Below are 16,537 nucleotides of genomic sequence, written 5' to 3'. Positions count from 1 at the left end.
GAACACCACTGGCTTAAACAAGATTACTCATTACTCCCTGTTTTCCTCATTTCATTTTCACATCCTAATAACTCATACATTTTACAAATTCATGAGCCCAGGAATTTGCCTGGCTTTGAGTATCCTGAGATTAAGCTGTAAATTTTTTATAGAATTTTGGGCTATTTAGGCACACTCATCGGACTTTTCAAAAGACATTCTATCTAGTTTAAATTTTTACAGTAAATACATGGAGTGCTTAGTGAATAAACCCCAAATTCCCATGATATCTCTATTCACAGCAACAATAAATCATGAAATTGATCAATATTTCTAGGCATTCTTTGAGATTCCCAGAAAATTTTTTAAAAACTGAAGACAAAACAGAAACACTAAATGGCTCCAACCCGCTAGCTACTCTGTTCCCTGTCCTATTTTCAGGGACTGCAGGTGAGAACAAGGATGCAAAAATAGGCCAAAGACAGCTTTCTATGCATTTCAAATGACTAAATGAAAAGAATACGGTTTTACTTTATTGTGAAATTGTATTTTTAACACAAATTTAAAGTAATTTTGGATCTAGGAGAACTAAAGTACTGTGCTTTGGGGGAATATAAGTAACTATTTTCATAGCTACTTGATGTTCAAGTATAAAACAGGATTCTGATTAGGAACACAGTACACTTTCTGATCATGAGGCTCCTTGATCCACATAACTCATCAGGAATAGTTGTAGAAGATTCTTGTTTTGAATATATTTAAGTATCAATCCCAAAAGTTGCCAAAATTTAAAAAACAAAGTCTTATTCTATTCCAAATATAATGCCTTATGGGAAAGAACACTCTGTCTTTGCAAAAAACTATAAAGAAACATCTACCAATTCTGGATCTGAAAATCTTTCATCTGTTTTCCAGGACCGAGAAAAGCTCATCCGTAGAAGAAAGCATAGAAGAAGTTCCAAGCCAATTAAGGTAATAAGAAATCAAAGTTATCAGGCATTTGCCACAAACAGCCAGAGAGATGAGGCTTGGCATGGAATCTTCCTACAAAGATGTGATGAATCAGGTGTTCCAGAACTGTTGCAGCAAACCATGGGCATTATTTGCTAGAAGAAAATATTTTCTGTTGACATTTCTTCGAAGTCTAAAAATGATTATGTTGTAAATTTTAACCTGAAAGGGGTTTGCTTTAATATAACTTTCTCTAAATGGAGATGCCCCTAGGTTTGATGTAGAAAGGATTACCTGACAAGTTGGAGAGTCATATTCAAGAAATGCACATGATTTGATGTCTCCCACTTATGACAATTAATACATTTTCATTATTCATTCAGACAATCTTATTGATAGCAATGCTCCCAATCCATCAATATCTGTATAGCCTCTTATAATCCACAAAGTTTTGTTATTCAGTTTGTCTATTTGATTTTTATTTTGGTTTTTACCAAGTATACCATTGGTTTTTAATGTGGACTTGGATGACAAGGCTTAAGATTTGATCATCTCCATCACATAGATACCTGAGTTTTCAAAATCCTTTGGTCATAGTTTAAATACAGGAAAGAGTAAACCACACTAGCTCATCATGATATAAAATGTAATATGAAAGAGGTTTCAGTGTTTCTATGAAAAAAGCTACATATTATGAATTTTTCTTAAGATGTCAGAAGTGAAATAATATGAGAGAAACACTTATTGGAATTATGCTCATGCCTAATGTTTTTATTTCAACAAAGAAGCATAGAGGATCCATGTCTTCTATATTCACTTACACGTATGCCAGTTGACAGTATTTTAACGTTCAACTTTCCCTACTGTTAGCTATGTCAGTAAATAGGTACTTTCCCTCCATTTAGAGGCCTGTTTTGGACCCGTTTATTGGCTATGATGAGGACTCTATGGATTCAGAGACATCATCCATGGCCTCATTTAGAACAGACAGAACACCAGCTACTCCTGATGATGACTTGGATGAAGTAAGCTTTTCTACTTCTCTAGCCTAGGGTGATATTGTCACCAAATCTTTGATTTAAGGGGGAAGAAAAAGGATTTCACTTTTCATCTCCTTTATATAAACAGCACAAAGTGATCTCATAATAGTAAACAATTTTGAGGCTGCACTTTATTATCTCTTGAAAAATAGCTTCACTTATAGCAGGTAAACCTTTTAGAAATTTCTCTCCAGTTCAACTCTCTAATTTGAAGACTTCTTTCAAAATAAAAGTTACTTTCCAATATTCTTTATCTAGGGAAGGTAGGAACCCAAGAGGCCTTAGCAGGCTTTTGGATGTGGTCTGACACTGTTGAGTGAAGTGTGTTCTGTGGACCATCCTCATCAGAATGATCTAGAGGGCTCAGTTACAATGAAAAGTCCTGGACTCTACCATGCAACTCCTGACTCAGGATCTTAGGAGTGAAACACCCCAGTCTGCATTGTTTCCCAAAATTCCCTGCTGATTATGTTATGTCCTGAAGTTTAAGATGTAATGCAATAAAACAGATTTTATGATTTATCTGGGGGAAAAAACAAGTTGCTGGAGATGAACATACTGAAAAGAAATAAGAAAATTCTAGGGTATCATTTCCTCAAATTTAGGTCCAAAATCTGGATATGACTTTTTCTTATTTGGATCCAAAATTGACTACATTCTAAGCTCAAATGATTAACAATGAGAAATGTATCAAATGCTAAATGCTTCTTTTACTAAAATAAATATTTATGTATTTCTGCAGTGTCCATCTTGAAAGTATTACAGTATTTGTGCCCGTATATACACTTCAGAGCTAAAAATAAAATCAAATAGACTGTTAAACAACCTTTTACTTCTTGTAAAAAGTGGGCAAATGTTAATATTTCACATTGAAAACAGGACCTGAACATAACACAATTGTTTTGGGGCTTTTTTTCTTAACCTCAAGAGTTTAGCAGCTGAAGAATCTGAACTAAGATTTCGACAATTAACAAAAGAATATCAGGCCCTCCAAAGAGCATATGCCCTCCTACAGGAGCAGACGGGAGGCATCATCGACGCTGAACGAGAAGCCAAGGTTAGTGTGTATCTGTGAGAGTGCTCTGAATTAGCGTGCAGCAGTCACAGCATAAAAGCACTGTGGACATAAAAATATCAATAAGACAGCTTTCCCTGTATTCTTCTCTCCTCTGCAGCTTTTGAATTGTTATAGCTTTTATGTCAACAAACCTTGACTCTAGAAACATTAGAACCAGCTTAGATCAATGCTTTTGTTCTTTTAAAGATAGTTGAGTACATAGTTCTTGTTCTTGCTGTTTGAAAACATACATTTTCAAAGCTAGACAATATTGGATTTTGTTAAGCCATTTTTTAGTTTCTTGCTTAGAAAAAGAACTTTTTTATCTTTCAAAAGCAATAGTGAGCCAGTGTCTTCTCTTCGTTAATAAGTGCCCAGCGTTTACGTATGACAACTTACCAGAATTTTCACAGACACTATCTCATTTAACCCTTGAGACAGTCCCCTAAGGCAGATATTTTATAAAAGAGAAATTTGACACTCAGAGAGGTTAATTGAATTGCCCCAAATAGCACAAATAGTAAATGGCAAAGCTGATATTACAACTTAAGTCTTACTGGGTCAAATGTTCTTTCCTTTATATCATAACTGCCTCTCATGAGCCTATTTCAACAAAAAGAAAAGATAGACATGTACTATACTAATTCTTAATATTTATTGAGTGCTTGCTGTGTTCCAGGCATTGTGTTGAACATTTTACACACATTATCTATATAATCCTAAAACAACCCTAGGAGCTAGATATGATTATTATCTTCTTTCTATAGAAGAGGAAATAATAGCTTAGTAGAAGTTAAATGTAGTTTAGTGAAGTTAAATTATTTACCTAGGTTTACCTAGGTTTCCTAGCCTTGTGACTTCACAGTCATAATCACCAGGCTATAATTGCCTCCTAGGTAAATTTACATGAGCCAAAAGGCAGCATGACCACCGAGACCACCCAGTGATTTCATCCTACTTTCTTTCTGGAGGGTCTACAATGCACTGAGGAGTTTTGTAGAACTACTATTGTTCAGTGGGAAAGGGTAGATGTAACGCAGTTATACATTTTTCAACAGTAGCATGCACACACACATATATAAGTAAATAAGCAGGTTTTTAAAAAACACCAATTTAGAACAGGCAAGCAATCATTACAAAGGAATGTGCCTGTAGGCTGTCATATATATGCCCCAGTGCTATAATATTTGTGGTTAAGTGTTCTTACCAACATGGATTGGGGAATTAAAATAATAGCATATTATTTTATTTTTATTTTTTGGAGATTCCTCCAAAAAAAGGAGACTTCTTTTACTTTTTGGAGATTCCTCCCTGTGTCATTTAATTCTTCTACCTAAATAAAGGTTTAGCGTTCTCTCTGACCATTAAAGTCAGGAAAACTTACCATTCTTAGAAAAATAATCTACAAGAAATAAAGATGTTAGAAAAAGAACAACAGAGTAAATTTAAAGAGACTAGAAATTAAAAAATAATACAGATGAAAGCATCGTTGAAAACAAAAGATAAAATTAGGTACAAGAAAAAATAGGTTACAGTCAACATCAATTCACAGTTAAAATAAATCTTAGCAAAATTAATTATTTTTTGGACCTGATAGAGGTAAATGTAATATTTAACAATCAAAAGAATTATTCTCCTCACAATGAATAAGGATATCTTTCATCGCTGTTTTTATTCAACTTTGTACTAAAAAACCTATCCAGATTGTAAAACAACAACAAAAAAATGGGTTTACAGGCAGGAAACAAATTACTAAGCTAAATCACATAGGACAACAAAGTTGCTCCATACAAGATTAGTATTCAAAACTACTTACACACACAGACACACAAAATATGATATATAAAGAGAAAGACAGAGAGAAATTGATTTAGGGACTTAAATTTAGGCACAAAGTTTGCTCTGAAAGAATGGAAAGGCCGGGTGCACTTTGGGAGGCGGAGACGGGTGGATCATCTGAGGTCAGGAGTTCGAGACCAGCCAGGCCAACACGGTGAAACCCCATCTCTACTAAAAATACAAAAATTAGCTGGGCGTGGTGGCCGGTGCCTGTAATCCAAGCTATTTGGGAGGCTGAAGCGGGAGAATTGCTTGAACCCAGGAGGCGGAGGTTGCAGTAAGCTGAGATTGTGCCACTGCATTCCAGCCTGGGCAACAGAGTGAGACTCTGTCTCAAAAAAAAAAAAAAAAAAAATCAAAAGAATTTGGGGAGGCAAAATGGAACAAGGCTTTCATGAAAGAGAAATCATTCAAATAAAGAGAAGAGTGGAGAGTTACAAGGCATATTTAGGAAACAAGAATTATGCCAGCAGGTGAGGGTTTGGCTCTAGGCTGATGAGTAGTAGGAAAAGATTGGAAATATAATGGGAGTTCTCGAATGCCAAGCTAACGAGTTTGAATACTAACCTGAAAATAAAGAATGCTACAGGGAGTTTTAAACAAGAATTTAGATCAGAAAGATTCTTTTGTCATAGAAAATTCTTCTTTTTTTCCTCTCTCTCTCTCTTACTTGTTGAGTTCTAGTCAAGAAAGGTATTGAATAACCATTTTACTTGCTGAGTTCTGGAATTTTGGTTTCACCAGGCTCAAGAACAGCTCCAAGCAGAGGTGCTAAGGTATAAAGCCAAAATTGAAGACCTGGAAGCGACTCTGGCTCAGAAAGGGCAGGTAGGCATTTGGTTGCTAGCTCTTCTGCAGATGCAGACAATTCAATCTGACCTTCCTGTAGCTCACCTGTGCATGGGCCGCACCCAGGACACAGCTTGGCTCTCCACAGTGATCTTTCTCGAACTGCGTTAGAATGTTCAACTCTGTACTTCTGTCTCTGGTGTTTTTCTGGCCAGAGTATGAACCCAGCCACAACAGTGAATGAGCTTGGGCAAGAGAGAGAATGCCAGAGGAAGAGGAACCCTGTACAAATAGCCTAGAGTTGTCATAAGCTGCTAAGACCAAGACCCACCCCTCCAGCTGCGTTCTTTGCCTCTATGCTACATTTATGGTTCTGCATTTTAATGTTTTCCATCCATATGTATCTAGCCTGTGTGCATTCTGACCCTTTTCACTTTTTGCCTGTGTGGTCACTTCTGAGTCCCCAGAAGGCTGGTCCTGGATTATTCAAACTGGAAAAGGTAGAAATAGGGAGTGATGATGAAAAGGGGGTTAAATTTTCCCGGCAACTTTGGCCCCAATTTCTTTGAAGGAGCTGGCAGGGGTGGGTGCTACTTACCAGTCTTTGGCAGGCAAACAAACAGGGTGGGGAGAAGGCAGCTCTGGCAAAGTGGTTTGACAACACAGGCTCTTTCGTGCCACTCTGAAATGCTGACTGCGCGATATTCTTTGTCAAACAGGATTCACACTGGGTAGAAGATAAACAACTTTTCATTAAGAGAAACCAGGAGCTTTTAGAAAAGGTATGTTGGGCACAACACCCTAGCGGGGCAGAGGAGAAAATCATGAGAGATCCAGGAGCAGCAGGGGGTGCTCTCAGGAGTGGCACAGGGGCCAGGGGAAGGGGAGGCTTTTCCGGCACTGCTCTGTCCTCGGCTGCGTGCTCAACCGCATCCCTGTCACCGCCATCACCATCAGTGAAGTGGCACGTGTGCATGGCTCTGCGCTGGGCATTGTGCAGACTTGAAAGGATGTGATCCCTGAAACCTCCTGATTTGCTAACCATATACACTGTATATATACTGTACATATATATATACATACACGCACACACACACGTGCACATCCTGTGTAGTTGTTTATCTACAACAAAACCTCTATGAGGGCCAGGCACAGTGGCTCAAGCCTGTAATCCCAGTAATTTGGGAGGCCGAGGTGGGTGGATCACCTGAGGTCAGGAGTTTGAGACCAGCCTGGCCAACATGGTGAAACCCTGTCTCTGCTAAATACAAAAAATTAGGCAGATGTGGTGGCACATGCCTGTAATCCCAGATACTTAGGAGGCTGAGACAGGAGAATCATCTGAACCCAAGAGGCGGAGGTTGCAGTGAGCTGAGATTGCGCAATTGCACTCCAGCCCGGGCAACAAGAGCAAAACCCCATCTCCAAAAAACAAAACAAAACAAAACAAAGAAACCTCTATGAATAGAACTTGTTATTTTGTGAGAAGAAGTGACAGAGTATGACTCCAAGACCATGCCGAAACCTAGCATAGGCTTAGATTCCCACTTTTAGTCTTTTTATTAAGCTTGAGTCTTTCTTTTTTTTTTAATGAAAGATTTTTTTTAGATGAATACTGTTTTTAAAACATAAAACAGTATTCCTGGAAATTACTCAACAAATTAAGAAACAAAAACATGGCTTAGGCTTGAATAGATATAATTAATTTTGGTTATCTGAACATAGAGTCAATTAAACATAACACATTTTCAGTTCAAAGGTGGCTTTTCCTTTGATATTTACCTTCTACAAATCTAGTGAAAGATTTCAAAATAATTTTTTTTTTTGAGACGGAGTTTTACTCTTGTTGCCCAGGGTGGAGTGCAATGGCACAGTCTCAGCTCACGGCAACCTCTGCCTCCCAGGTTGAAGCGATTCTCCTGCCTCAGCCTCCCAAGTAGCTGGGATTACAGGCATGTGCCACCACATCTGACTAATTTAAATTACAAAATAATCTCATATTATGTTTGACAAAAACAGAATTTGAAAGCCCAATTGTGTAAGGGAAACAATTGTGTAGGTCAATCCAAAGTTATGCAGAAATTATTTTAGAATTGTTTTTATGAATATTTCTTATCCCTGACAAGTAATAAAAATTAACCACAACATCCTGGCTGGTAAGCATGAGAAGGAGGAAAAAGATGCTTGTCCTACCTCCCCTCTAGTCTGGCAAAGTGAAGACATTCTATCTCATGCTTTGCATGCTGTGAGACAGAGCTGATGTGTTCATCACATAGATGTATAGATGATGTATATGTTATATACAGAGTGGGCAGGTATTCAAAAATCGAGAACTGGTGCTTTCAGGAAGGTTAAGCGACCCTATAAAGAAACTTTGTTGGCATTGAATGAATTACAGTCTGTGAACCACTGATCTAATTGTTTCGTTAACCACTAGAACCAGCAATCTCTCGAAATATTCCACCATTGATTCAGTAGAAGATTCTAGGAAGTAGAATCTCCTTTATAATGTTAAGTTAACTTCTACAAACTTTTGAAAGTTTACTAGGCCACAAATATCTAGGGTAGAAAACTCGACTACATTTATTAATGTCACATAATTTCTCACTATTTCCCTATCTTTCTTTTCCTATTAGTTTCAGAGATGCCCAGTAATAAGTGTTATTATATTTCTTTATCATAAAAAAAATCCCATTACGTCTTCTATCTGATTTCCGTTAGTCTTAATCTTTTTGGGCTAAAGGAGGAATTTTTATGCTCAGGCTTCTAAGAATAAATAAACAAAATAAAGGGATGGCAGAACTGACAATGAACCTAAATAGGTAACTTCAAATGTAAATACTTGGGAAAGTAAGATTCGTGCTATGGTAAAAAGGCCCTGGTTTGTATTTCTAAATTCAAGATTTTAAATAGTTACTGTATGTAATGCCCACCTATACAGCTAATATCAAGGGAAGCTCAACATCCATTGTACTTCATAAAGATTTTCTGATCCCTTAAAAGCCAAAGATGACAGCCGGGCACAATGGCTCACGCCTGTAATCCTAGCACATTGGGAGGCCGAGGCGGGTGGATCACCTGAAGTCAGGAGTTCAAGACCAGCCTGGCCAACGTGGTGAAACCCTGTCTCTACTAAAAATACAAAAATTAGCCAGGCCTGGTGGCAGGCACCTGTAGTCCCAGCTACTAGAGAGGCTGAGGCAAGGGAATTGCTTGAACCCAGGAGACAGAGGTTGCAGTGAACTGAGATCATGCACTCCAGCCTCGGGGACAAGAGCAAGACTTCATCTCAAAAAAAAAAAAAAAAAATCCAAAGATAACTCAGACATGAACCCTGTCTACAGGGGAAGGTGCATTTGTACACAGCTAACTGAAATCCATGCTTCCTCAAGTTATACTAGAGGTCCTATAAGAAAGTCTAGAGGAAAACAAAAGGAGAGGTGTCACTTCTGAATGGATTGACTAGGGAAGGCTCTTATGGACATTAGAGCTTATTTAAGTGCTAATGCTTAAGAGCTTAGCTTTAAGGTGTTTAAAGAAGTGTAGAATTTGCTCACATAGCAAAGGAGATAAAGTGAGCCATTTTCAGGCAGAGCTGAGTAGCTACAGAGTTCCTGGAGTAGTCAGTTCATTGGGTAGGCCACAGTTCCTAGATTCTAGTGTTTGCATGATCATGTGTGGGTGTGTTTGTGCAGAGATGACAGTGATAATATTTAAAACTGGAAAGCTAGGTGGTAATCAGATTATTAAGGTTTTTGAATTCAGTGTTAAAGAGCTGGTTTCTTCTGTAGTAATTGAAATTCAGCAAAGTTTTGTGTATGATGATAGCTGTTAAAAAAAATTTCTGTAACAAATATAACTCGAGAAATGAGAAGTATCAGTCCCTCTTATGTATACCATTAAATTTGGTTCTAGTAGACTGTCTCTGACCCATCACAAGGGCAAAGTGAGTATTCTCAGATTCACTATTCACAGAATTCCTAGATTTTAATTCCAAGGAACAGAGATGTCTTCTGGCATTTTTCTCTGTGACTCAAAAAACTCAACCGAAGGATAACTAGAAGGAAAGCCAAAGCCAAATACTTATTTTATTCACATCTATTTGGGGATTTTTTTTCATGGTCTGGAAGACTTATTCACTGAGTAAACTGAACACTATTCATGCTTTGCAAAGTTGTAGGTGCTTTTCTCAATGCTTACCTAACTTCAGGATTTACTTTATTAGATAGAAAAACAGGAGGCAGAAAATCACCGGTTACAACAAGAACTACAGGACGCCAGAGACCAGAATGAGCTGCTGGAGTTTCGAAACCTAGAGCTAGAAGTAAGGAAATGATGATGATAATAATAAAAATAATCGTAATGATTAACATGCACAGAGCACATTGAGGAGCTAGGCGCTGTATTAAGCATTTCAGATTCATACTCTCATTTGGACCTCACAATCACCCTCAAAATTATATAGTGGAGGCAACTGAGATTAACTAACTTGCCTAAGTCCTGTGACTAGTAAGTGGTAAAGCTCTGATGCAACTCAAAACTGTCTACTTAGATACTGTGCTTTTCAACATTACTATCTTTTATGAGCAAGACTAATAAATAATTTTTAAATAAGTTAAATAATAGATTTCAACCATCCTCAACATTCGTTGTTTTTAAATACTCATGTCCATCCTTAATTAAATTTTGACTCATTAAAACATGTTACTTCAATACTTATATTTCAAAATGTGCTATATAAAAAATATTTTTTAGGTAAATGTGAATTTATAAGTAAACGTTTTAGTCCCTAATGCATTTATGAAAAAAAAGACTAAGAAGCAAGGTAACTTGTCTTAGAAAATACCTTGATTAATCTGACCAAATTTCAGGTGTTTGTTTTTTATTTTGCAAGTAAAACATGGAAACATCAGATTTTGATTGTATCCTGCAGAATCTGACTTAGGATCTGGTTCAGTGTATGTTGATATATAAAGTATAAGAAAAATTCCCATTTGATTTCTGTTATTTTGCCAGTTAGTTCTTCTTTAGGCTATTTTGAATTAGGTCTGGATAAAAAGTTAGGTGTTAGTAGGCTTCAGTGAAGAAGAGTCATTCTTTTGTAGCCCACATATCTTTCTCATAATGCTTGAATAGATTGAATATGCAAAAGGCTGTTAGCGGCCATAAAACTTCATGGCAAGACCACGCTGAGATATTTGAAAGCTCTAAATATTCATACAGTTTAAACTGGAGCTCCACTTCCTGCATTTCCCTGATCAAAAAATTTGGAAGAATGGATGACACCATCTATAAATTCTTCTTCTCAATCTCTTAGTTGACTAGTCAGCTTTTTCCGTCACATTTAATCATGAACATCTTGAGATTGAATTTTTTTCTTTTTGCCAAATGACAGTAATAAACTGCTGAAATAGCATAAAGAGACCACTGGTTTAGTGTTTAATTAATCAGTTTTGTTTTTAATTTCCATATATTCTTCACTGTGTTTCAAGGAGAGAGAGAGACGATCCCCTCCATTTAATCTCCAAATTCACCCATTCTCAGATGGTGTGAGTGCTCTACAGATCTACTGTATGAAAGAAGGTGTTAAGGTAGGCAGATATTTCATTTTTTATGTTTGTAGAAATTAGAAAAACTGGGAATTGGAAAAGGGGAGGTTACTTACGACTATTTTGTCTTTCAGTCACTGGATGTCATCATTTTGATACAAACTATGTAGGAATTGAAAATAGTCACTTCTACTAGAAAATTAACAGAATGTTTTTTAATGTGTGACAGATATACAAATGATAACAGAAGAAACAGAGGCATCCATGATTATTTAGAACAGAGTCATATGAAGAAAGACGCTGCATCAAAATTAGCCTTAATTACCTGGGAGAAATGTGAATTCGATTTAATACTTCAAGAAATATATTTCAAGTCTGCCAGATAGAAAAGTTTGAGTCCCTTTGTTGAGCCATTCTAGGTGCTATGGAATTCATAATTATGGAATTGCAGAGTTAGAAAAGGTTTGAAGTCATCTAGTCCAACATCTCTTTTGATGTGTTTAATTTAGGGAGGATTCCTCTTTTGGAAGGGCTTAGGGTTTATAACAGGTTGCATATTAAATAGAATATAATTATCTTTTTAGTGCTACTGGATATATTTTAAGTATTAGAGTTGAATTGAGGTAGCTCTTCCCCCGGGGAAATATATTGTCCTTCAGTGAAATCACATTGTGAATATCTGTTCCTGGGGTAAAGCTGGGATGCTGCCTGCTATTCCTGGTCTCTCCTTACCTTCTGCATGGCCCTTCCTGCTCCCACTCTGAGCTGCCAAATATACTTGCTTCAGTTGCCTTCTCTGTACTTATGAGATTGAGCTAGACTTTCCCTTTCCTGGTGGTAGGGCTCTACTATACTGCTGTTTGAACATGAGAAAGAGGAGAACATAGTACTAATACGGTAAAAAGTGGAGAAAACTTTGGTGGTAATATTGTGTTTCCTTGCCTTCCATCTTAAACCATTGTCCTGGTGTTTAAACTTCTGGCCTTCCTGGGTGGCATGGTAATTTGTCAACCAAAGCAATTTTTGGATTTCACTGTAATTAAATGAAAAGAATTTACTTTGCCTTTTCCTTCGATGCATTTTTTCTCAGATAAATCACAAACAACCTAATCCAATGAACTCTTTCGAATGGAGTTCAGCTGCTTCAAACTGACTCAAGGAACAGGGTAAAAATAAGATAGATGAAATTAATGCTAACCACCTTTAAAAAAATGGTACTGCACTATAGTTTTCTACATGGCAGTCAAAATTCAATCAGGTCAGAATTTTGCTAATTAGAATAAAATTGGTTGATTCTTTATATTTATTACCTATTACTTTTTTATACCTGAAAGCCTATCACAATTGAAAAAAAAAAGATTTGGCAGTCATGAGAAGAAAGTTAATGAGAATATTCCAAGTCTTTTACTACATGCTAGACTCTTTCATACACAGTCTGTTTATCCTGAAGATCAGCTCAGCCTATGAAGTAGGAATTTATTATCTCCATTTTGCAACTAGCAAAATTAAGAATGATCTGTTAAGTACCTGACCCAAGTTCACACAGCATGTAAGAAGCAAAATTGAAACTTAAAACTAGGTGTGCCAGATTGAAAACATCCCAAGGAAGTTCAGGCCCTAAAATGTCTTCCTCTAACTTCATGTTCAGGCACTGATGGAATAGGAGGCCACATTTGTCTTTGACATGAGTTTCTGCTTGATTTTGCAGGATGTGAACATCCCTGATCTCATAAAGCAGCTTGATATCTTGGGTGATAATGGGGTAAGTAAAGAATTGATTTAGTATAGATATGAATTTGCCTAAACAGAGGCAAGAGATACTTAACAATGCATCATGTGTAAAGTAAGAGCAAGTGAGATGCCATTTCACTTAAGGATGTTGCTCCTTGGGAAGAATATACAATTTATCAAACAACTTGGCTAAGGGGTTGTAAGGATCTCTGGAAGGTAGTAGCAGAAATGAGACCTGGTAAAGTGCTTTTTGCGGGCAGGTTTCAGGTTTGAATGTCGACCACATCTCCAATAAGTAAAGCTAATTATTGTCTGACTCTAGCTCAAAGGCATCCAGTGTGAAATTAATCAGTCACGCATTTGCAAAGGCTGCTAAATACTAGGGTTGTTGGCAGTGCCATAAAAATGGACCAGGAGGCTATAATGCATTTTCTTTCCGAAAACATCTTCCAGACAGGGTCAAGGCACATTAATTCAGTGGGAGGACCATTTATTGTGATACTATGTGATTGGTGCTTGTAGGTTGAAAGAATCACCGTTTTTCCCTTGAAAAATTATCAAAGGAGAGAACAGAATTAGTAAAATTACATCAAAACTTCTATGAAGAGACTGTTTTTTATTCCATTTTGGTTTCTGTTTTTCTCATAACATGACTATTAATAAAGTATGCCTCCAGTGACACAAAATCAAATCGGTGTTAAGGAGATATTTAAAAAATCACGTTTAATATACTTCTTCCGGGTTTTGATTAACTCTTTGTTCAGAATTATTACTAAACAGAATAGGAATTTGTTAAGTTTCTATACAGGCTTATACAGAATGCTCTGTAGCAGTCAGTCAGACAGTATTTTCTTTGGGGTAAATAATGTCAGTATGTTCAGCTGACGGCCTTTCTTATTTTTTACAGAATTTAAGAAATGAAGAACAAGTGGCCATAATTCAGGCCAGCACTGTGCTGTCCCTGGCAGAGAAGGTAATGAGCCGTACAAACATTTCAAATCATCTCGGTGTCTGGCTTAATACTGAACGAGCAGACTAGGGTGTGAAGGACATTCCCTCTGCACATGACTGTGTGTGAATACCTAATACACATTTTATTTTTAAGGGTAGTACAACCCAGATAGAATGAGAACACCCAAACGAAAAGTCTATACACTGATTTGGGATGGGTGGCTAATTTTTGCTTTGAAGTTCCTTAAAAATATATATAATTTTTTAAAAACAGAAAACCTTCTAGATTACATTATTTACACAATCCCTACCAAGCTGGGAAACCACAAAGAAGAATTCTGCGGGGCGATGATAAACTGGAGCATTGCTCTTATCATAGACTTATCCTGGGGTGTGTACCTACCATTGCTCCCAACTGATCCTGTGGCTTAGTAGGGGCTCATTGCCTTCTCATTCAGAAAGTCCGACATAGAGACTGTCAGGAGAAAATCAACACTGACTGAGCTCTGGCTCCACCTTGTGTCTAAACCTGGTAAATGGCCAGATAAATTGGTGTATTCAGAGTACCTCATGAATCAATGCATAAAGCCTGGCTGGATGGTATGTACCTATAGTCCTAGCTACTTTGGAGGCTGAGGGAGGAGGCTCACTTGAGCCCAAGAATTTGGGGCTATAGTGTACTATGATCATGCCTGTGAGTAACCACTGTACTTCAGCCTAGGCAACATAGTGAGACTCCATCTCCTTTAAAAAAAAAAAAAAAGTACCAGTAAATACTTGAGAGTCATGTGCACATGGTTGGATAAAATGAGAGCAAGCAATCAGCTCTCTCCAATCTGAAATGAGGGAATTCTACGGGCCAAATAACAGTTAAGTTACTCAAACAAAAGAATGAAATAAAAAACAGGGAGAACAAAGAACTATAGCTATGAAATAAAAAGACACTTAACCAGGTGTTTTTTAAAAAGGACATTTTGTTGACAACTGGAGAAATTTAATGTGGACTGGGTATCAGATGACAAAAGTAATTAATGTTAATTTTGTAAAGTGTACCAATAACCTTGTGGGTTTTTTTTTTTTTTTTTTTTTTTTTTACAGAAAGGCTTTATCTGTTAGAGATACACATTGAAGTATTTACATGTGAAATAAAATGAAAGCTGGAATTTTTTCTTTTAAAAAAACTTACTTCCTACACAGTTTAATTACAGACCTAATCACTTTCTCTGATCCCTCCCCAGCAAATGCCTCATTATCTCTAACAGAAGGTCCAAATTTAGAATTTGGCATACAGACCCTCTGGGATTTGAGTCTTATCTACCTATTTCTCTAGTGTCTCCTCTCCCTTCTCTCCCTCCATTCTCTCTCTCTTTCTCTCTCCATTCTCCACTCTTGGTCCTTTACACTGATCTTTTTACCTGGAAGATAGTCCCATCTTGCCTTTCTACCTCTGCCTGGCTAAATCTTGAGCATCAGACTTCCCCATAATGAGGAGGCCTGCCTGTTCATCCAAGCCCCCTTAGGTGTTCCTGCTCTATGTTCCCACAGTGGCCTGTGCTACTGCTCCCATGGCTTTTGACAATTGCATTACACTGTCCATTTGCATTTGTCATATGGCCCCATCTAACTACCACTAGACTCTAAGGCCCATGAGGACAAATAGTTGTGTCTCTCCACTCCCCACCCCCTGTTTTTTGCCCTAGCTTTTCACACTAGTCCAGCACATGTAGTAAGTCATGAATAAATGTTAACTGAAGGAGCAAAGGTGTGAATTTGTGAATGCTCATAAGACACCATTTCAGTGACAACACAAAGATGAAAAAAACACAGTCTGTGCCTCCAGTGCTGCTATCATCTGGCAATGATAGCAAGAGAGCCTTATTCAGCTGGAATCATGAAGGGCTGCAATTCTTTACTGCAAGAAAAAATCGCCTGGGTTTAGGGCTACAAACAAAACATGGGCTGATTCTATGGAAGATGAGGATTGAGGAGGTGAAAGAAAGGAAATACAGCCTTGTGTGTCTCACATTTACTGAGACTGATGGGAGAAATATCTTCTGCTCCCTGCCCTGTGTGGGTGCAGTACAACTGTACTTATCAGAACCAACAACTGTGCTTATCAGAACCAAGACTTGCGCAGTGCTCCTTTTGAGATAGGCACTTTCTAACTGCTGGAGACTAGGTACTAGTGTGACCTTTATTTCACACAAGGAATCTGAAGCACAAAAAAGGTAGATAACTGCCTAAGGTCACACAGCCTGAAGTTGATGGAGTCAGGATTCACACCCAAGGAGTCTGGTTCTAAAGCCCATGATCTTACGTCTTGCACCAAACTCCTCCTCCTGTGGGAAATAGGCTTTGCAGACCCCATGGGAGCTGGGCTGTCGGAGCTGAGGCAAATTAGCCCATGCCTCTGCTTACTTTTTTTGCAAGAAAGGTATAGGGACCAGTTGAACAAATACAGGGTGATGACTCTGTGCTTAGCACTGTGGTAGAAAGCTAGGAACCAGATGAACAAGACACAAGCCTTCCCTAAAGTGCTCATGGTCTGTTCAGCTGCCTTTTGTGCAGACTTTTGCAAAGCACAGATTAAATTTATCTCTTGTCTGTGGGATTCACAGATAAAAGTTTCTACATCCAAGTAATTCTAAACA

At 37.6% G+C, this 16,537-nt stretch overlaps 1 protein-coding gene and 1 long non-coding RNA gene across 8 annotated transcripts in view; one reads left to right on the top strand and one right to left on the bottom strand.

The window, feature by feature from the left end:
* JAKMIP2-AS1 (JAKMIP2 antisense RNA 1) overlaps window positions 1-16,537 on the bottom strand; it is a 102,016-nt gene that overhangs the window by 19,351 nt on the left and 66,128 nt on the right. The gene's annotated exons all lie outside the window — the stretch shown is intronic.
* Window positions 1-16,537, top strand: part of JAKMIP2 (janus kinase and microtubule interacting protein 2) — a 197,291-nt gene that overhangs the window by 140,070 nt on the left and 40,684 nt on the right. For 4 of the 7 annotated variants that reach the window (NM_001282282.2, NM_014790.5, NM_001270941.2 and 1 more), the window contains 9 exons: window positions 895-951; window positions 1,836-1,955; window positions 2,899-3,027; window positions 5,611-5,694; window positions 6,375-6,437; window positions 9,881-9,979; window positions 11,148-11,246; window positions 12,913-12,966; window positions 13,843-13,908. In NM_001282282.2, the coding sequence (NP_001269211.1) occupies window positions 895-951; window positions 1,836-1,955; window positions 2,899-3,027; window positions 5,611-5,694; window positions 6,375-6,437; window positions 9,881-9,979; window positions 11,148-11,246; window positions 12,913-12,966; window positions 13,843-13,908 (771 nt within the window). The remainder of the gene's footprint in view (window positions 1-894; window positions 952-1,835; window positions 1,956-2,898; window positions 3,028-5,610; window positions 5,695-6,374; window positions 6,438-9,880; window positions 9,980-11,147; window positions 11,247-12,912; window positions 12,967-13,842; window positions 13,909-16,537) is intronic. The other 3 variants (XM_047417951.1, NM_001270934.2, XM_047417950.1) reach the window with 1 other exon arrangement.

Source organism: Homo sapiens, chromosome 5 (genome assembly GCF_000001405.40).
Source record: "Homo sapiens chromosome 5, GRCh38.p14 Primary Assembly".
NCBI lineage: Eukaryota > Metazoa > Chordata > Mammalia > Primates > Hominidae > Homo > Homo sapiens.
This window is presented reverse-complemented; position numbering and strand designations above follow the sequence as displayed.